The sequence below is a fragment of the Homo sapiens genome, chromosome 3 (assembly GCF_000001405.40).
Source record: "Homo sapiens chromosome 3, GRCh38.p14 Primary Assembly".
NCBI classification, from domain to species: domain Eukaryota; kingdom Metazoa; phylum Chordata; class Mammalia; order Primates; family Hominidae; genus Homo; species Homo sapiens.
This window is the reverse complement of record NC_000003.12, coordinates 180,707,307-180,728,938: the sequence shown is the minus strand read 5'-3', so window position 1 is coordinate 180,728,938 and position 21,632 is coordinate 180,707,307. Positions and strand designations below refer to the sequence as shown.

Sequence of the window (21,632 nt, the reverse complement as noted above, 5' to 3'; positions counted from 1 at the left end):
TACTTGTCTTTTCAAAAGCTTTCTTCCAATGAATAGACATCATAGTAAGTCACTTGAAAAATCTCCCGTAAATATGGATTTTTTTTTCAACATTATCAGCCATTGTCTCATAATTTCTTTAAAAAAAATTCTGACTTGGAATTACAGAAACCCTAGTCATGAATACCAGGTCAAATTCTATACTTGTAGCTTGCAAAAGCAGTTTGATAATAAATGCAAAGCTTATTATAGTTAAAAACAAGTAAAGCATTAATACAGGTTAGCATTTTAAAGAATTTATTTTTAAGCACATTTTATTCTCAATCTATACTTCGAAGTTTAAACTAATGATACAAAATAAAAATGTAAAGAGTTAAAATTTCAAGGAAATGGTACTTCTGGAGACCATATTCCTGAAAAGCCTTTTTTTTTTTTTTAATTATCAAGGAAAGGATTCAGAGAATAGTGTTTAAATGTGTGACTCCAGTGAGTTACACACGTGGAAGAGTCAATCTCTTTGTTCTTCCACTTACTAGATGTGTGACTTTGTTTTTCTCATCTATAAATTGGGAATAACAGCAGCTACTTAAAGGACTTTTATGAAAATAAAATGAGGTAGCCCATCTAAAGTGCCTAGAACAGTGTCTTAGACCTGTCAAGATGGCTACGTTATTATTGTTATTTTTCTGTTATTGTGGCATTATATGGAACTTAAAACCAGGAAACCTAATAATTCCAGGAATGAGAATTTGGAAATTTTCTTTTTTGTGGGGCCCAAAGAAACAATTTTCAGGGGTAATAGTTCTTATATTTGGGTGGACCAGATACGAACACAGCTTTTCCAGATGAGAGATGTGACTGGATATTATTTTATGTCTTCCAAGAGTCTGGCTAGCCATGCAGGGCAGGTCACCAAATCATCAAGTGGATTAAGAATAAATTGACAGATGGCCAGGCATGGGCATAGTGCCTCACACCTATAATCCCAGGACTTTGGGAGGCCAAGGTGGGCAGATCACTTGAGGTCAGAAGTTCAAGACCAGCCTGGCCAACATAACAAAACCCCATCTCTACTAAAAATATAAAAAGTAGCCAGGTGTGGTGGCACACACCTGTAATCCCAGTTACTTGGGAGGCTGAGGCACAAGAATCGCTTTAACCTGGGAGATGGAGGTTGCAGTGATCCAAGATCGCACCACTGCACTCCAGCCTGGGTGACAGAGTGAGACTCCGTTTCAGAAAAAACAAAAACAAAAACAAAAAAGAGGCTGGGCGTGGTGGCTCACACCTGTAATCCCAGCACTTTGGGAAGCCAAGGCAGGCAGATCATGAGGTCAGGAGATTGAGACCATCCTGGCTAACACCGTGAAACCCCATCTCTACTAAAAACACAAAAAAATTAGCCAAGCGTGGTGGCAGGTACCTGTAGTCCCAGCTACTTGGGAGGCTGAGGCAGTAGAATGGCGTGAACCTGGGAGGCAGAGCTTGCAGTGAGCTGAGATCACACCACTGCACTCCAGCCTGGGTGACAGAGTGAGATTCCGTCTCAAAAAAAAAAAAAAAGAATGAATTTTACAGTCTACTAATCAGGTGTGTCAAAACACTTTATTTTTCTACAGGCTGAATTAATATCTATCTCTAGTACTCATGCCACCAAGAGGCAGAAATTAAACTCCTAGTTAATTCAACTTTGCATCTAAATCCTGGATTTACTTGGCCCTCACCATGATTTTGGACTGAATGTATGTGTCCCTCCCGTACTCCTACATTCATAATCTGAACCCCTAAACGCTAGTATGGTTTTATTTGGAATAAGGAAGTAATTAAGGTTAAATGAAATCATAAGGGTGGGGTCTTGATCTGATAGTGTTTTTATTTTATTTTATATTATTATTTTTTTTGAGATGGAGTTTTGCTCTTGTTGCCCAGGCTGGAGTGCAATGGCACAATCTCAACTCACCACAACCTCTCTCTCCCAGGTTCAAGCAACTCTCCTGCCTGAGCCTCCCAAGTAGCTGGGATTACAGGCTCCTGCCACCATGCCCTGCTAAATTTTTTTTTTTTTCTGTATTTTTAGTAGAGACAGGGTTTTGCCCTGTTGGCCAGACTGGTCTCGAACTGCTGACCTCAGGTGATCCTCCCGCCTTGGCCTCCCAAAGTGCTGAGATTACAGGCATGAGCCACCACGTCCAGCCAGATAGTGTTATGTTCTTAGAAGAGGCAGCAGAGAGTTCATTCACTCTCTCTTCTCTGTATGAGGACATAGTGAAAACGCAGCCGTCTGCAAAGCAGGAAGAGAGAACTCACCAAAACCTGAATCAACCTGCACCTTGATCTTAGACTTCCCAGCCTCAAGAATTATGAGAAAATAAATTTCTGTTGCTTAAGCAGTCTAGTATTTTGTTAGGGCAGCCTAAGCAGACCAATATACTCACCAAGGATTTTGGGATCTTGGCATCAAGAGTTGGGGGGAGAACTCATTCTCCAATCCATTGTAAACATCTAGCATGATGCTTTCTTCCCCCGCCCTTTTACTTTCTCTAGTCTGGACAATCTCTCTTTAGCCTCTGGAATGACAATCTCTCTTTAGCCTTGGAATGAGACGGTATATCTCCTCTCCTCCCCTCTTTCCAACTTACTTACTTACTCATTTGTAGTAGTTTGTGTTTTTTTTCTTCTTCTTCTTTTTTTAGACAGGGTCTTGCTTATTGCCTTAGCTGGTCTCAAACTCCTGGCTCCTGGGCTCAAGTGATCCTCCTGCCTTGGCCTCTCAGATGCTAGGATTACAGGCATGAGCCACTGCACTGGCCTAATTACTTTTTAATGGGTAAAATCTATGTCCTGGATCCTTAAGATTAGATTTTTGAAATTCTTTAATCTCAGATTTTACAGATAAAAAGCTTTGTGTTTCATTATGAGGCCATTGGAGAAATGTGCCTCCCTACATATTTGATGATATTAAGGAATTGTTTAATGTTTAAGTGTGATAAGAATATTGTGATCATATTTAAAAGATGAACCTCTTCCGATTAATACATCGTGTACAACAAAAAGATTGATGTAGAAAGAGGGAGTCCAAAAACCCTTTGTCTTTTGGAGAAATATGCTGAATATTTGTGGGTGAAATGATATGATGTCTGGAATTTGCTTTTAAAACTTCACAACAGAAGGGGAGTGTTAGGTAGGTATAGATAAATCAGGATTGGCTTTCAGTTAATGGTTAAATGGGGTGCTACATATATAGGAACTAATTATATTAGTTTCTCTGCTTTTGTATTTGTTTGAGAATTTTCATTATAAATATGTTTTATAAAATGAGTTGTAAGAACCTGTTATGGCAATCAGAAAACAAGAACTAAATGTCTTTGTATTCTGCATTCTTTTAGGTATTTTCCTCCTTTCCTGAAATAATGTGTAGTTCTGACCAAGTGAGAAGAATCATAAGGTAAAATCAGATTCCTGAAAGGAAGATATCTTGTTACTATCTCAAATTTTCATCCTATTGCACAAACCAACTACCCAATCCAGCGTTTGCATTTGGATACATTTAATGAATAAAAATATGAATCACTGATACTTTCTTAACATCTTTTGGTTATTTATTCACCATGTTAGATGTGCTAGTGATGTGAAAAGTTTGGAACTGCTAAAATATTTTATAAGCTGGAGGAGGTTTTTTTTTTTTATCAGTTTATTTTAAGTCAACAGATTCGGGGGCAAGGGTGGATGTATTAATCTGTTCCTACACTGCTATAAAGAACTACCTGAGGCTGGGTAATTTATGAAGAAAAGAGGTTTAATTGACTTATAGTTCCATAGGCTATACAGGAAGCATGGCTGGGAGGCCTCAGGAAACTTATAATCATGGTGGAAGGGGAAGAGGAAGGAAGTACATGTTCACATGGTGACAGGAGAGAGAGAGAGAAAGGAGGGAAGTACTACACACTTTTAAACAATCAGGTCTCGTGAGAACTCACTCACTATCATGAGAACAGTGAGAGGGAAGTCCACCCCCATGATTCAATCACCTCCCATCAGGCCCCATGTTCAATGCATGAGGATTACAATTCAAGATGAGATTTGGGTGGGGACACAGAGTCAAACCATACTAGCGGGCTAAAGATTTCACTATATGAGGTATTCTGTACAGTTTAGCTAATGGAAAATGTTTACCAAATTATCACCTCTATTGCTAAGAGTTTGTGGTAGTTGATCTAACTATACTTTGGAAAATATAAGGAGACCCTGTAAGAGAATGAAGGTTGAGAGCGTGAAGCATAGGATCAAAATAAAGTAATAGCAATGTTCATGCCGATGTTGAAAATGACAAAGGCGGCTAATGTGCAGAATGTAGAAGATTCAGCAGTATGGCTGATTTCTGCCTGATTTGCCGTTCATGGGAGAAATTTTATTCATGAAACCTTTATTGAGTACCTATGCAGGGCAAGGCACTAAACATGATAAATCAAATGATACATAGACCCCAACTTGGAGCTCAGTATTGTAGGAAGCTGGGGGTACAGCTTGGACTACCTCAGATTTTTATTCTCTCCTACCCTCACTCTTCTAGCATATATTCATATCTATTAAGATCAGGGGTAAAAAAATCATGTAAAACTTTATTTATATTTAGCATGAACCAGTTAGATACACATAGATTTAGTTTCCTTAATGACAAAGAATAGTGATGATGAACCACTATGGGATAAAATAATTAAGTGCGTTACTTATCTTTGATAACTTTGAAATTCAGAGCTAGGTGTGGGGGAGAAGGTGTTTTCCTTCTTAATTCATTTATTCTGCCACTCATTTATTCTTTTCTTTACCCCTGTCTACCTGCTAGAATCACAGTGAGAATTATTTCAATTTCTAAAAGGCACTTCTGTGGGAGAGAAAAAATAGTTACAGTGGAAATAAATGTTGGAACAGGCAGAGTGCCCTCTCTGAAGGACACTGAAGTAGCTAATAGTTCCCCTAAGAGATTACCAGTGGAGTGGTCCTACATGAAAGAAAGGTGGCATGAAAGATCATTACTTCAGTTATTATTAATGGATTGCTATTCCCACAAAGATCATCTGGGGAATGGTTCTGATTGGTTGGCTGGTACCATCAAAGGTGGTTTGTTTAGCTGTGTGACTAATGACACTGTTTTCAAGGTCTGTTCATGGTACTTCAATTAGACGGAGGCTGTGGTAGTTAGAGAAGGCTTCTTGAACTCTGCTGAGTTTCAGGAAAGGAAAACTTTTCCATTAACTGTGAAGTTAAAAGAAAAATCCTATAATGTATTTCTTAACCAGATTAGAAACCAGAACCCTGGTAGGCTTTTGTTTAGCTATTTTGCTGAGAGTGTTCTGCTAAGGCCATGCAAAGAATGAATAATTCACATTGAAAACCTTAGCATTTTGCTTAAAAGCCTTATTTTCATTTTTGGAAAATGTGACAGCAAGAATTAGTACCGGCACTTCTGTTTCAATAATGGTGGTGATGTTTAAATGACAACAAATACATAATTGGACTTACACGCACATTTATGGACACAAAAATGTCATTACCTATTTTGGTGGAACATTTTACACTTACTCTACACACAAGAAAAATCAGCTTAAGTTGTTTTTATCTATAAGCAATGAATCAATGTGAGAAACCCTTGTGGCATTCATACTTTGAGAAAAATATACATTTTTTTCATTCCCTGATTTTGAAAGGATGAGATTATTTATTTTAAATAAGACCCTTAATGAGCCCTCCTAAAATAAATGGTAACCCATTTTCATAACATTCCCAAAGGTCTTTCGAAGATCAATATTTAGACTCCTCCCTAAATTAGAGGATAGAAACAAACTCTCGCATAATAATTCTTTGCTCAGTTTGAGCTGAAATTGTCTGAATATTACAGGATATGAGATTTAATATTTTATGATGAGAACAGGGAAAAGGAATTAGGAAATTTAATGTTGTAGGAAAAATGGGGGCACCCTCTGATGCTATCTTGGATACTAACTCTTTTACCCATGGAAAGCACAGGACAGATAAAAATAATATAAAACAATGAAGTGAAAAGAACTACTCTTCTCTCAACTACTGCATAGATTTCCATTTTTAAAGTAAGAATAAATTTAGATATAATAAGAAATATGGTTATGGGCTCAAAGACTTGCTATGAAATTCTGGTTTACTCAACTCTAATGATAGGACTGAGTCTTTCCATGCCACCTCTGACTTTCTGAGATGGATAAGAATTACAAATACTCCTATCACTTTTGATCTGCCAGTCTCCTGGTATTATTGTGTATATTCTATTTGCTAACTTGAATTAAGTTTCTTTTAAAAATATGGTGACTTAAAAGGATGTTTTCCCAGATGTTGGATAAAGATCATAGATACTGCTAACCGTAGAGGTTATACATGCATGATATTTCAGAGTGGCCATTAAACATTGCTGTTTCTCCTAGAGACAATTTTTGTTCATCTATTAGTTGGGACATATGATTAAACTCTGTAAGTTAAATATATAAAACAACTAGCAATAGAAATGTTAAGGTGAACTATCCTGTCTTTAGCGTCTGTATAGAATGAATCCGTTTTTTTCCCTCTTGCAGTGGCTCAGTAAGAATGTGGTGGCTGCTGCCATTTGTTACACATATTTCTCTATTTCTTTTTCAGCCTCAGGTTATTCTCCATTCTCATTTTTTGACCAGGTTGCTCAATAACTCACAAGCCCTCAGTGGTTCCCACAACTCACATTTCTCCAAAAGCTGGTTCAGTACAATTTGTGATAATCTTGGGTTTTGACCATGAATGCGAGCTGTCTCAAGTGCAGTCTACAGTAGACCACTGGCATTTTTTGTCTCTGATATTTTGGCTTACCACTCCTCTCCAAGTGTACCCCTATTTGGTCATTTAGTGCCCACCTGCACTAAATGTATTTCTTTTTTAAAAAATCAAATCTAACCACAAGAAAGAAAATGTTAAACTCACACTATTGTCTAAATCAAATATATTGTTTTAAGGGTTGTATCTCTCAGCCACATCTACATATACTAGCTGACATAAGTTTTAGATAAAATTATTCTTTTGGGTAGAATTTTAGGTCTCAAAAAGCATAGTGGAAAAGTTTCTCGGGTGAGGGGATGAAGGTGCAATGAGTCAAGGGGTCTTGTCTAGCATCTTGGAAAATACTCTCAGTCTCTTACTTTGCTTACTTACGAGATTAGTTCTGGTGAAGCCTAACTCCGCTTCTCCAAACCATCTCTCTCTCTCCACCTTTATAGTGAAGATCAGGGAAACCTCCACTAAGAAGCTTTTCTTGATTAGTCTCACTATGCTTGAGCCAGCCTGTTTAAATTCTGGCCCACTGTTATCAGGCTGTTGAAGACCTCCGAGGGCCTGGGCACTCACACTTTCACAGGCCCTATCCCACATCGTATCACATCAAAATGCACCAATATTCTGTATTAATTATATATAGATTTTTTACTGTAAAAATAATTTGAAAGGATTTTAATCCTTTTATATCCAAAATTATTTGGTTATGTATAACTTATTTTAAGATTGATTATAATTTCTTGGTAATTATTGTGCATCTCAGAAATTTTTCTGATGTGAAAATACACCTTACATTTTTAATGTAATTAATTTTTATGAATATTAAATTTCATAGGTAATAAGACATGAATGGAGCACTTTATGGAAATTTAATTAAATACATTCATTTTAAAAGTTTTTTTTTCTATTTTGTATTAATTTTTTTTCAGATCTCAAACATAAATTCATGGAAAAATGTAAATTCATGGAAAGCTCGTAGACATGTATTTTAGTGACTTCTATGTATCAGGCATTGTTCCGGCTGCTAGAATTAGAGTTGAAAAGACAAAGTGCCTGCCTTCAAAGAGTGCAAGACATGAGGATATTTGAGTAAATAATACCAAAGCAGTGTGATAAGTGTGCTAATAAAAAATAGAATTAGGAGCACACAGGTGTCTGTGACCAACGAAGTCCTCAGAAGAGATGACTTTTGAACACAGAGATGACTGACTTCAGTCACGGCTAGATTGAAGAGTCTTTAGATCATGATATTTCAAGGAGGATTGTCTCATGGATTATTTTCACATTCTATTTCTTAACTAACACAATTTTGGGTTCTTGAGTTCTTACTACAGAAATCTGAAACATTTACCACAATGAGTGGTAAATGGCCCATTAGGCCACCCTTTGTTTTCAGGTGCCTCCCCTTCCATTATGGTGATAGAATATGAACAGCAGAATGATTCAGTTGCATGAGATCTTCACAGAGAGCCTTCGAGGTCAGAGTTATCATAATCCCGTTTTATAGGGGAGGAAATAAAAACTAAAAGATGGTAAGTCGTTTGTCTAAAATTAGGCAATTAGTCAAATGGCAGAGCTGGGATTCAGTTGCCCATCTGTTTGGCTTCACAGGCTGTAAACCTCAGCACTCTATAGATTAGGACACTGAATAACACTTCCCAAAATGCATTTCTGTGGCTCTAGGTAACTGTATGTGTTCATTTTCTCATTAATTTTCTTTTCTGATGATGAAGTATAAAAGGAGGGGGAAAGGACCCAACCTGCTCTATGCCCAGGAAAAGGTAAAAACTTATATCAGGAAAAGATAACTCAGAAAAGGAAAAATATTGAGCATAAAATCATCTCCCCTATACTTCCAGCCTTTCCCTTAGCTTCTTTCATAAGGTGATAAGCATTTCCATCCCCACTTCACATTTTTGCCTACCTTAGCAAAAAAATTTTGCTTGATCCATAATTTTTGATAAGGGAAGATTCATCAGAATAAAAAGAACTATAATATTTAATATACTTGAATGAGTTTTAGGATGGTAGTTAAACGGAACAATAGAAGTATTCATATTATAGTAACCATTTCTAATGATCTAATTCTAAGATTTTGTTAGAAGTTGATAGTAGAACTCACACAAACATTGAGTGAAAGGTACTAATAGCAAAAATTCCTCAGAGCCATGAAGATTAGTCTTTGCTGTAAGTTAGGATAATATTCTGTTAGAAGAATTCTGACTTTAGTATTGTGTAAGCTGTTTTCTTAATACGTATCTACCCTCTGCCTAGGTGATATTCACGAAATAAGGCATAGATAATGCATTTAGTAACACTGAGCTGAATCATGCAAAACATAATTTGTGTGCAGTTTCAGGGAGCATAAAATAAAAGTTGTTTTAAATATCATAAAAAGCAACCATAAAAATAAAGCATTCTAATCAGAGGGAAGACATTCAAAAGCTCGCGTCAAAAAGGAAAACAATTTACTTGTGTCGGTACCCTTAATAAGTGCCCCAAAGCATTCCAGTGCTGTTACATTCTCTAATGATATTACAGTATGTGGCACATCTCATCTAATCTGTTAGTAAAATCCTAAAGTCACTTATGTCAGTCTCTAATGCAAGCCAAATGAGTCTTTCCAGTAATAAGAAGCTTCGCAGAATTAGTTTTCGTTTTGCAGAAAATTGCCATTGGGGCTGGCACTTTTATCTAAAAATTTCACTCGTGCATAAGCAAAAAACTCATATATTATTTGGTTACATTCCATCAGTATGAGAAATAACATTGTGAGAATTCTATGCATGCTAATGATATATAGAAATCCACCTGCTTTCAGATAAAATGAGTTTAATTTTCTGTTGCCCACTGCCTGGTTGGCCTTTCATAAATTACTTATGCACAGCTATTATTAAAATAGAGGGAAAGCAAATTAGAAAGTCCTCCTATCTCTCCACTGGATTTAGCCAAGGCAGGGCTGTGACAGCTAGAGTCAGCGTTTTTGAAAAAATTCTGCTCTCTTGAAAAATTTTGCATCTCTATACAATTCTATACCACTGTTGTAAACGTTCTGACCTGCCTTCTTACCAAATTAACCTAAATCCTTTCTATTTTTCAACATTAATGGAATCCTCTAGAGTCCTGCTGATATATATTAAAATATATTTATTGGTTAATTTGAATTCCAGCATTTTGTACCTCATTTCCAGCACTCCTGTTATATCTGAACAGCCTTGAGCTTTAGCATTTAAAACTTATAAATTAAGATACATACAGTACATCTTACAATTATCAGATCAAAACAACTTAACTTTTATTGGAGTATAGAATGGCAAATTTAACTTTCTGATAAAATAGAAAATGAACATTGTCTGCATGAAAGAGTTAACTGGATTTCAAAGGGTGTTTTCTAGCTGATGGTGAGGAGAGTCTTTATTGGTCAAAGAATACTTGATCTCTTGGTTTAACCACAGGTGAAAAGTTTTTATTTCCAGAGGGTTTTGGAAATCACTTAAGATTCTCAATTAAGTGGAATTCCCAATCACTTAAAATTAATTCCTGTTAATTATTTCACTTTGTTCAGCTATGATCAAAAGTTTCTTAGGATGTATCAGGTGACTGTGTCTTCAAAGGCTGAATAAATATTATTGAGGAAGCTCTACACTTTCAGTGCCATGGTGTTAAAAAAGCCATCAAAATACTATGTTGAAAATAAATCCTAATTATAGTTCTGACTGAAGAAGATAAGGACAGCTTCCAAAGCATTTCATAAAATTTCAGTATAAAGAGGTCACTTTTTAAGACAATTGCATCCTGTGCCAGGGAGGATACCTACAGTACTCAAAGAGCATTTTAAACTAATTCCAAAAAATAAACTAAGCTCATTTTCTGTTAAGGTTCTTCTTCATAGTGTTCTGATATAAGCTTTGTCCATAACTAAATGGCGTTTTAAAAAGACCATCTTGATAGTATAAGTTATTGATATGAATAAAAAAATTACAAATGAGTATTTGTGGTGTATGTGTGGAGTAAGAGTGGACGGGTCTTGGGAAAGCACAGTGGGATGGGGAAGGGAGATACATACCTCTTTTTCTCATCTCTGCTCTGAATCCAAACTAGCAATTTCCCTTCATTTTTGGGGAGAAATCTTTCAAACAAAGGTAACAAATGTGCTTACAGTGTTTTAAAACTGACACTCAAAAATAATATCAAGCAAATAAAACCTAGCAACACAACTCAAAAGGCACATAAATGATTCTGAAAATGATGCTTCTATAAGATAGAGTAAAATATCATTTTCAGATCTATCCATAGCAATTTTCAAATAGTGTCATCTCTCCTTCTGGTAAAGTTTAATGACAAAATGTTTATTCCTTAACAACACCGAATGAAAAATACTATTTATGTGTCTAGCATTATAAATTCTAAAATTTTCAGTGTGTAATTATATAGTCTTAGGATGCTTTTAAATCTCTTCTGAAATTTGCAAGTTGAAATTCACCAGCAATTGAGCTTTGTCAAATGTCCCCAAAAGACAGACTACAGAGTTTGAGATCAGTCAGCTGTTTGGACCATGATATGTTAATCCTCTGTTTATAAGATACTTAACTAACTGAAACTTCCTAGATGTCTTGTTTTGACTTTGGCAATGGTGATTTGAGCCATTAAGAAATCCCACAGAAGACAAATAATCAAAGTGTCATTATTCCCCAGAAGTCTGCATGTAGTCTAGCTCTTGCATAAAGAGTGAGACACCAATTCCTTGAGATAATTAAAGTATTAATGTGATTAACATTGTGTAGTCACAACTTCCTATAAGTTCTAAGCGTTCTGGAATAGGAAGAAAGAAATCTAAACTAAAACTAGAAAATAAATCAAATTATCAGGATACTTCAGACAAAATAAAGTTTTGCAAATAAATTAATTGCATGCTATTCCTCAAAAACTTTAGTTTGATTTTTTTTTTTTCCAGACGGTTTACTTTTTTTTTTTTTTTTTTATGGAGTCTTGCTCTGTCGCTCAGGCTGGAGTGCAATGGCGCCATCTCGGCTCACTGCAACCTCCGCCTCCTGGGTTCAAGCCATTCTCCTGCCTCAGCCTCCCGAGTAGCTGGGACTACAGGCACCCACCACCACGCCCGGCTGATTTTTTGTATTTTTAGTAGAGATGGGGTTTCACCATATTAGCCAGAATTGTCTCGATCTCCTGACCTCGTGATCTGCCCACCTCAGCCTCCCAAAGTGGTGGGATTATAGGCGTGAGCCACTGCTCCTGGCCTCAGACAGTTTACTTTTAATTAATTCCTCGTTTAATTGATCAGTTGTGTCTTTGTGAATTGCCTCAGAGGCAGCATGCATATAATTGTAGAAAGTTATAAACTCTTGAATCTAACAGACCTAGATTTGAAATTTGGCAATGGCATTACCTAGCTACTCTATGTTGGCTAGATATGTAACTTCACTTGAGCATCAATTTATTCATTTAGAAAGATGAGATGACAGTACTTTACTCATAGTTTGTTGGGAAGATTGAGTAAAACATGGATAAAAATAATTGACTTATTAATATATAGGTACTCAATAAACATTAGGTGCACTTAATCAACTGAAGGTATGTAAGACTACTTTTTTGTGTGTGCTTCAGATCTTACATATTTTTTGTAAAATTATTGCTATGATTTCCACATGTAACTGTTTAGTCAACTAGAGGTATGTAAAACCATTTTTTGTTGTTGTACTTTAGATCTTATGTGTTTTTTAGTATATTGGTATGATCTCCATACATAATTCTTCAATACGTACATCCATGAGTAATGTAGAGATGGGCTTGTTTCTCAAAAGAGAACTGGGACTTTGAACATATGACACATTTTAATACCTTCTAAACAAAAAAATTCTTGATATTTTCATTGTAGAATATTTAAGAAATATAGAGCAATATATATTAAAAATTTTAAATTTTTCTTTTCTTATTTCAAAGGCATTTAAATGTGCTGTTTTCTCAGCTTTTTTTTCTACTCAGATATTCAAAGTTGATGTCATATTGTATTTTCTAAGATTTGATATATATTTCACTATAATAGTGCTTTACCATGACTTAACTATTTTAAAATACTATTTATATTTTGTTGTATTTAAATTATTATACTGCTATTTTATATAATATTTTTATTATCAAAGCATAATTTTTAACGGCTGCAAAATAGCCAATTGAGTGACCTTAAACAGTAATTTATCAAACCATTTATTATTTTTAGATGCTTAGGTTGTTTTTAATTTAAGGCTACTATATAGATTAATTAATGAAAGTTTTTATCTGTATTTCTTGTTATCTTCTTAGATTAGATAGTGGTCAACAAATACAAACATTTTTAAAGGTATTTATGATACAATGACAAACTCTAGAAGAGTTGTAGCACTGTGTATGCTACAAGCAAACTGTGAGAATATTCTTCTCAAATCCTTCTTTTGTAAGTTGATCACATTATTTCTCAAAACTTTTGTAAATTTAATAATTGAACATTTTAATTTCTACCAAAAGTGCATGAGTACCAGTTTCATGTAAGCCTCATTAGCACTGAACACTATAAATGAAACAAGCTATCTCATTTGTTTTGACTAAATTTGTTTAAAAAGTGAAAGATATATTTGTTTTTACTAGGACTTTTTTTATTGCTAGTGAGTTTGGACTTTTTTCTTCTACCTTCATTGGAATTAAAATGTCTTTTTTGGTAAATCATCTTATCCTTTTTTCCTTTATCTATTGGTGTGTTTATCTTTTTGTTATTGGTTTATGAGGACTATTTACACATTAAAATACAAACCCTTTATTATTTTACACTTATTGTTGGCCTTTTGATATTATGATGTTTTAAACTTTTGGCATTTTTGTCTTTTTATTTTATTTATTTTTTAATGAATGAAGTTTTATTGGAACAAAGTCATACTTGCTTATTTACTTATTATCTATGGTTGCTTTTAAATAACAAGGGCAGAGCTGAATAGTCACAACAGAGAATATATGGCCTGCAAAGTCTGAAATATTTATTATCTGGTCCTTTATAGAAAAGTTTGCTCACTTTGGACTATGCCATTACTCAACAATTATGGTGTGATTGGCCTGACTTCTGTCCTCCTGCATCAGCACACACCCACTCAGAAAATTTTTATGTTTTTATAGTGAAAACACGTCCTTTTTTATTTTTAATGTTATAAATTTTAGCGCTTTTATAAATGTCACCTCCAAATATTTCACTCCTAGAGAGCAGAAAATTATTGCTTAAAATTAATTCTGGCCAGGTGCGGTGGCTCACGCCTTTAATCCCAGCACTTTGGGAGGCTGAGGTGGGTGGATCATGAGGTCTAGAGATCAAGACCATCCTGGCCAACATGGTGAAACCCCATCTCTACTAAAAATACAAAAAATTAGCTGGGTATGGTGGCGTGTGCCTGTAGTCCCAGCTACTTGGGAGGCTGAGGCAGGGGAATCGCTTGAACCCAGGAGGCAGAGATTGCAGTGAGCCGAGAGCTGAGATCGTGCCACTGCACTCCAGCCTGGCGACAGAGTGAGACTCCGTCAAAAAAAAAATTAATTCTAAATTTTATAGTTTCAATGTTTACATTTACACAAACCATTTGAAATTTATTTTTGAATTTAGGAAGAGGTAGGCTGTTAGTTTTATTTTTACATGTACATAGTTGGGCACTTTTTCCAACCCCTTGTATTAGATGTCTCATTGATTTATGATGCTTTCCGACTTAGATTTTGACAATTTTGATTTATTTTTCTGTAGGTATTATCCCCCTAATATCGTGCTCTTTTATATAATACAAATCTCAGTTATTTTATTAGTATTTTGGTAATAATAATAGTGAATAATAAACATGATGATGACAAGTATTTCATTCAAGTCAATGACTCATTTGCTAGGTAATCTTAGGTACATTATTCAGTTTGGGGTAAGTAAAATGGAAAGAATCTGTGAGATGGGGAGAATATTGTCTAGTGAACATTATCATTGAATTCTCTCTCAATAGTGGTTCCATCTTAACTCTTTAGTGGCAGATTATGATAGTCTTATCACACTTAACAGAAGTTGGTTTAGATAAGGTCCTGTCTAAACCAATTTAGGCCAATAAAACTTGAGAAGAGTCTTGCTTAGGCCCCCTGGGAAAGAAGCTTCCTGTGTCTAATAAGGTTGGTAGGAGTAGTATTTCTCTGTCTTTCTCTCTCTCTGACACACACATGCACACACACACACACACACTGTCCTCAAACATGAACAAGGAATTCTGTTGCCCTGGCTACTGTTGGCAACCATCTTGAGATAATGAGGCAAGTCAGCCCGGGGACCAAAGGCCAAAGCTGACTCAAAGAGAAGAGAGAAGCTAAGAAAATAACATGAAGTGGTGCCTAGTACTCTGATATCCATTGTCTGAAGCCCAAATTACCTCTGGCTGATTACTGTTACTTACAATTGAAAACATCGTGACTGATACATATTAAGTCTTCCAAGTCTAGTGTGGTAAACAAATAAAAGCATGATTCTAGAGTGCTATAGACCATCACCAGGAACATGGCAATTGTTATCAGTAAGATTTCTTTAGGTACAAAAGTGTCGCTGCCATTATGCATGAGTTAGTTGATCTCACATCTCAGTTAGTCAAAAGTGTTTGAGCATGCAGCTTCAATACATTTATTTATTAGAAGCATTACTCTACAAATATATACATATAAAATATAGTATATAATATATGTAATATACATTAAATATGTTATAAAGTTCACAAAATTACAAAGGAAATAAAGGATAAAAATGAAGTGATTATTTAAAAAATAATTTTGTTTTGTTTATTTACTTGTTACAGAAAACTCCTTTCCCCCCACTAACATCATCATTATCATCATTAAATTTATTTATTTAAAAAAATGTCTGCTGGGTAATACCCAATGCCAAATATTTATCATCTCAGTAAAAGTCAACAAATTTAGAACAGTTGTTTTAAAAAAAAAGCCACAACTCATCTTTAAGCTCAAATACTTTTCTAAGTACTTTTTGGAAAGACTACTAGCAAGCATCTGTAATATACTAGGATTTTTTTTTTTTTTTTTGGGATGGAGTCTTGTTCTGTTGCCCAGGCTGGAGTGCAATGGCGCAATCTTGGCTCACTGCAGCCTCCGCCTCCCCATATACCAGGATTTTTATGGTCACTTCCAATCTAACTCTAGATATTGTAAAGATTCTGTTCTTTAAAGTAATATGTGTATGCACATTTATCCACAGACATAGACTGCAATAGACCACAATATGCTAAAAGCTTGTAGATATATTAGAGCTTTCCTGTCAACCCTCTGCCTTGCTAAAATCATACACATGCTTCAGGCAAACTGATAAATGTTTTATGAAAGGCTGAACAATTTTGGATGCCAATGTCAACTATTTATTAAATATTAATATAATTTATTTTATTTCTAAGACAAAAATAAAAATAAATTCATAATTTTGTTCTCACCTGTCAATGAATTGTCTTATGCCCTCTTGGCTTGTGAGCACCCACATTGGAATCCATTAATTAGATATAAATTGTGAATTGCCACAAAAAAATTAACAAAGCCTATATACAAATCTATTTTTTAAATTTTTTTGCCATCATAAGATAATATGTCAAAACAGTTGAAAAATAAATTCTAAGCAATAAACTATTCCAGTTGATAAACTGTTATGAATACAGTGGGTCTCGTTATCTCAGCCACAGTATTGATTACAAACCTTGCAATAATAGTCACAAGCATGAAACAAGAATAGTCGGTGCTAGCATGGAAATTGAGGAAAAGCAATGTTAAACCAATGATCACTTCTGCTAGTTAGGAGACAGAAGTAGAAATTTATCACAGTGTAACAAAACCACATACAGTATTATCTTAAATAGTTGCCACATCAGCAGAGAGCCAATAATATTTATTTGCAGAGTTCAGCTGGTTTGAAAATTAAGGTAAAAATACAGTTAAATCTGGGTACTTTGAATTCTTGGCAAGTGGGTTATATTTTTAAAGGCAAACTTGCTTCCTAAGGACTAAGCTCTTGACAACCCTTTAATATGTATTTCAATAATTCTCACTGAAAAATTTTCCAGTATGAGTGTCAATCTTTTGTTTACTAACAACGCAGACATTTTCAAGAGTCTTCAGTAGGTAATTATAAAGGGCTTCTCTGAGATATATAAGACCATTTACCATATCCTTAAATGCCTCTACATACCTGCCTTTTTTGAGTTCTTGCTTTATTTTTTGTGGTATTTCTCTGTTTTCTTTTTCTTCTACATTGTCATTTCTTATTAAAATACCAAAGTCTGTTTGTAGGAAATATCCTTCTACAACCCTTCTCTCCTTTCCTAATCTGCTGCTTCTAATCATTTTTGACCTTGGAACAAATTAGAAATGTCCATTAGGAAGTAGATGGGTTTTGATTACTGATAAAAAGTCTCTCCTAGGAGAAAAGTGTGTAAATTTTACTGTCTGGATATTATAATATACATTTCAACTACTTAACTTTTCTTTTTGGCTTTGAGATTGGTGAGGAGGCTAGAGACCCAAGCTTCAGAATGGGCAAACTGTTATTCAGGCATGCAGTGCTTCCAGCTCTTACTTTTGACTTCTTGTCAGTGGATCCCTTCAAACCTGTCATGCCTATGTTGATTGTGAAGTCTTAACTCATGCAGGATAATTATAACACATTTCCTGTCTTCCCAGTTTCTCAATTTTTTTTCTTAGAATATGGGATTTTGAAAAACATGAAAACATCCTAAGAAATACCAGGAAGGAGTCCCACAGTGAAGCACAAATGGTACGTTATCAAATTTTTACAATTCCTTCAGTCTAAAACCAAATTTACAGAATACTGATTGACTAAGAATTATTTCTGTTTTACTTCCAGAAACTCAAGATGACTGCCTAAAATAAGGTAAGAGGTAAATGAATGAAATAAATCACATGTATTTATTGTTTGTACCAAAGTAACTTTCAAATTACTTGAATATTTACTAAAATTAGAGTTGACAGTGTTCACTTGATATTTAAAGCATCTTTTACAATAGATTTGTTTTCTTTTCTTTTTTGCAATTTAGAAATTACTAAGACTTTTTCTTTGGGTAGTTACAGAAATGTATTGATCTTACAGAATGAAGTCCAATACCACTACTACTTTTTGTCTGCTTAGTATTTCAGAATTTCCAGAGCATTTTCTCCATAACTTATTTAATTCTCAGAACAATGCCAAGAGGCAAATGGGGGAAGTTATAACTATTTTACAGGTAAGAAAACTGAGCCACCTTAAGACTGGTTAAGAGACTAACCAGGTCACATAGATGGCTTATGATTGGCAGGACTGGGTGGGAATGCAAAATCTAGCCCAGGGCTTTTTGCCCTTCAGCATGCTGCCTTGGGATACAGTTCATAGAACTCCTGATATGAAAATGGATGCTTAATAAAAAAAACTATTGATTGCTTGACTGATTGATAAAGGAGCAAATCTTCATGTATTAAGTAAGAAGAGATTGCAAAGGGTCTCACAATAGGCCTCGGGAGGACCTGGCTTGCACCTGTGTATTTTCATCCTCAGCCACTCTTAGGTCCCGTTTCTACTGTCCATGAAATGGGCCCAGGAATGGTCCTTTTTGGCAGTGGCAGTAGCAGTCACAGCTGTATGTAAATAAACTCTTCATTTAACTAAGATTGAGGAGGGACTATAAAAAGAGTGGCAAAGGGAATCATCTTCCTACTGAATAAGCTGAAAAAATGTTCAAGATTCAGGGCAGGCCTTTGGCTCCCTATCCATGTGGAAAAAGAACACTGGAATAGACAAGGAATTCTACCTTGCCACTTTGGATTTCAGGAGATGCCATTACAATGATATATCACATATCAGTACATATGACATTTAAAAATAACAAGTCCCTTGTCCCCAGAAGTGGATCCCCTTTTTTATTTAGCATGGAACATATTGTCGAAACTTAGTAAAGGGCATGCTACAATGTTAAGAACTCTGTAATTAATGTTGGCCAGGATTTGAATATAAATCCTTTACTTTTCAGGGTCTAATTAAAGTCAGACTTTATTGTGAGTGGAATAAGACATTTTCCTCACCAACCACATATTAATGGTTTCATGTCTAAGGGTTTTATGGTAAAAGTTTAAAATATATTTGAAATAATGTGTTTCCCTTTGAAGTCAGGAAGAGGGAAAAGTTATCTTGTCTTAACATAAAAGGAAATCACGTTTGATATAAATGGTCTTATTAGGGCAAATATTATTTTATTGCTTCACAATTCTGAGTAGCTCTAAAATACACTGCAAGATTGTAAATATAATTATAGACACTATGTAAAGATAACTGCTATAGTCTAAATTATTAATTCACTTAGATCACAGTTTTAGCTGTTAAATAGAATGCTTTGGGGAATGATGTTAATATCTGCAGATAGCTTAACAGCAAAACTGTTGATGTGAGATAATTGTGTACTTGAGTGCTTAATTTCAGGTTTTACTTGAACTGTGAAAGGTAGTTTAATATATATCACAGAAAATAAGCTATAATAAAATTAGCTGTTGATGTTTACTATGTACTCTAGAAAGAAAATACTGTTCATTTTCAGTCAATTATTTCTTCCAGAATTATAAATTATATGTGTTAATAGAATTAATACTTTAAATGCCTATAACATCTTTCACCCTAATAACTGAAGTGCTTTTACATCTAATACTTCATTGTCTCTTAACATCACTATATGTGCTCATCAATGCTGTATGTAGAAACTTGAAAAAAAATTTAAACAGAATAAAAGTGTACGTGCTCTATTATATTTCAAACCTACAAATAAATGCTCATTGAAAATGGCATTATAAAGCTGAACTGAAAAGAAAAATGCATAATGCCTGAAATCTATAAACTGCAAAAATTTTAAAAAAGCTAAACTCCAAAACTACTGTTTCATAAAAGAATAATCTTCAAATTTCATGAAGAGGAAAAACATTAGTTAGATTATTTAAAATCCAACTAGTATTGAATAAAATCATCAGGCATAAATAAAACAGCCAAAAATGCTTTAAAATGAGCTTTCAATTTTTGTGTAAAATAAAAGTGTGTTTTCATGCTCATACAAGCTTATAATCTTCTTCTGCCCCAGTTCTTCCCTGATCTTAGGAAGAAAGGATCAAGTTCTTTTGCTTTTTTTCTCTGTTTTGTCCAAATAGAAATCATGGATCTTAGGAGAAAGGGGGCAAGGAAGTAAATCAAAGGACAAAGCTGAAGACCAAGTGGACCGAAAAGAAGATGGAATACATTTTCCCAAACACTGGTGTTCTCTGGAGTTGGCTTATCAACATCTTGTGTAATAGTCATATAATTGTCCCTCATTTCTATCTCCTCCTAAAACTAGAGAAATGGCCTATTAATTTTAGAAGGTGTATAATTATCACAAAGCCCTCAGATTAAGGTCCAGGACACAGAATGGAATATATGAGCACGCAGAAATGTATACCTTTAGATTGAACTTGGATGATTTACCTTTTGACTGTCACCACCAGCAAATCCTGAAATTGGATCTCTTGAAACTTATGGTTTTCTTTCAGCAGCATAGGAGTTAAGTTTTCTTCTAACTTGCCCTAGGTTCTCTCAGGAACTGGGAAAGCAGTTCTCCCAAATCCCAAGTAAGGTATTCAAGACAACATAAGGCAGAGCTAAATTCTTCTGTTGAAGAATTTAACATGACTCAAACCATAAGGAAATCTAAAGAAGGCTGCCAAACTATTTCGCTGCTGCCCTCCCCCACCAAAAAAGAGATAAAAATGTTAGATTTACAAAGCAAACTACAGTGTATGGAATATATATATCTATATATAGAGAGATATATATACACACACACAATTTTTTTAACCTACCACTTTGTCTTATTTGCATGAGCACAAATCGCTTTCAACTTAATGCCAGAGAAAAAGGCAACATTCCCCGTGATGACTTGCTGAAAAGCTCACTGTATTTGTTTGATAATGGATTTTAGTTCATTGTCATGTACTTCACTCTTCATCAGCAGGAGCACTTCAGGGTAAAGAAACAGGCTTTTACCACACTGGAACAAAAGCTATATAAGGAAAAAAAAATCCTGAGCAGATGGAATATTATTTGCATTTGCACAAATAGTGCTTTTTAGCACAATTCATATTACTCCATTGTGAGCTAAAGTAAGCCACATGTGTCTACAGCATGCTGCAGACGCAGAATCGGCTTTTTGTTTGTCAGACTCAGAGGTCCCAACCTTATGATATCTTTGTACTTGTATATCCATTAGTTTTATTTCAGTTACTTATCAGAAGGGAAAAGAAAAAAATGGCACTATGCAGTTAAGAGGACCATTGCATGGAGGGCTAAATTAACTATTTTTTATTTTCATGAATGAGGATCAAATAGGTTTCAGATGTCTCGACATCTATCTGGAGATCTAGATGATGATATAAAATTAAAATGCAGAATGTAAGTGTAATAAAATTTGTTTCTCCATGATTACATTAAATAATCTTTGACATATATTTTTCTTAGGTATCTCTCATGCAGAGTAGATCAACATACGATTTGACACAGAATAGAATTTTAGGTCTAAAGAAATCTTAGACATTAGTTTAACTTTCTCGTTCTACAAATCAGGAAACTGAGGCTCAGGAACTAACGTGACTTGTGGTGGCATAGTCAAGAGTGGAGCCTGGGCTCCTGACCTTGAATCCAATCCTGTACCCATATATCAGTATTTTCTGTAATATTTTACTTGGGCTTGAAGATCAAACAGGTTTGATAATTC

At 34.9% G+C, this 21,632-nt stretch overlaps 1 long non-coding RNA gene across 1 annotated transcript in view, besides 1 other annotated feature; it reads left to right on the top strand.

Annotated features, from left to right (window-relative positions):
- LOC101928882 (uncharacterized) overlaps positions 1-21,350 on the top strand; it is a 162,590-nt gene extending 141,240 nt beyond the window's left edge. Inside the window, exons 11-14 of the long non-coding RNA NR_109986.1 lie at positions 3,366-3,424; positions 17,557-17,629; positions 17,720-17,746; positions 20,035-21,350. This is a non-coding gene — a long non-coding RNA (uncharacterized LOC101928882). The remainder of the gene's footprint in view (positions 1-3,365; positions 3,425-17,556; positions 17,630-17,719; positions 17,747-20,034) is intronic.
- Positions 8,769-10,300: an enhancer, noted in NCBI's record as "VISTA enhancer hs258". NCBI's record gives its function as "enhancer in: limb[3/5] | eye[3/5]" and the evidence as "EXISTENCE:transgenic organism evidence [ECO:0001131][PMID:17130149]".
- Positions 21,351-21,632: the final 282 nt, after the last annotated feature.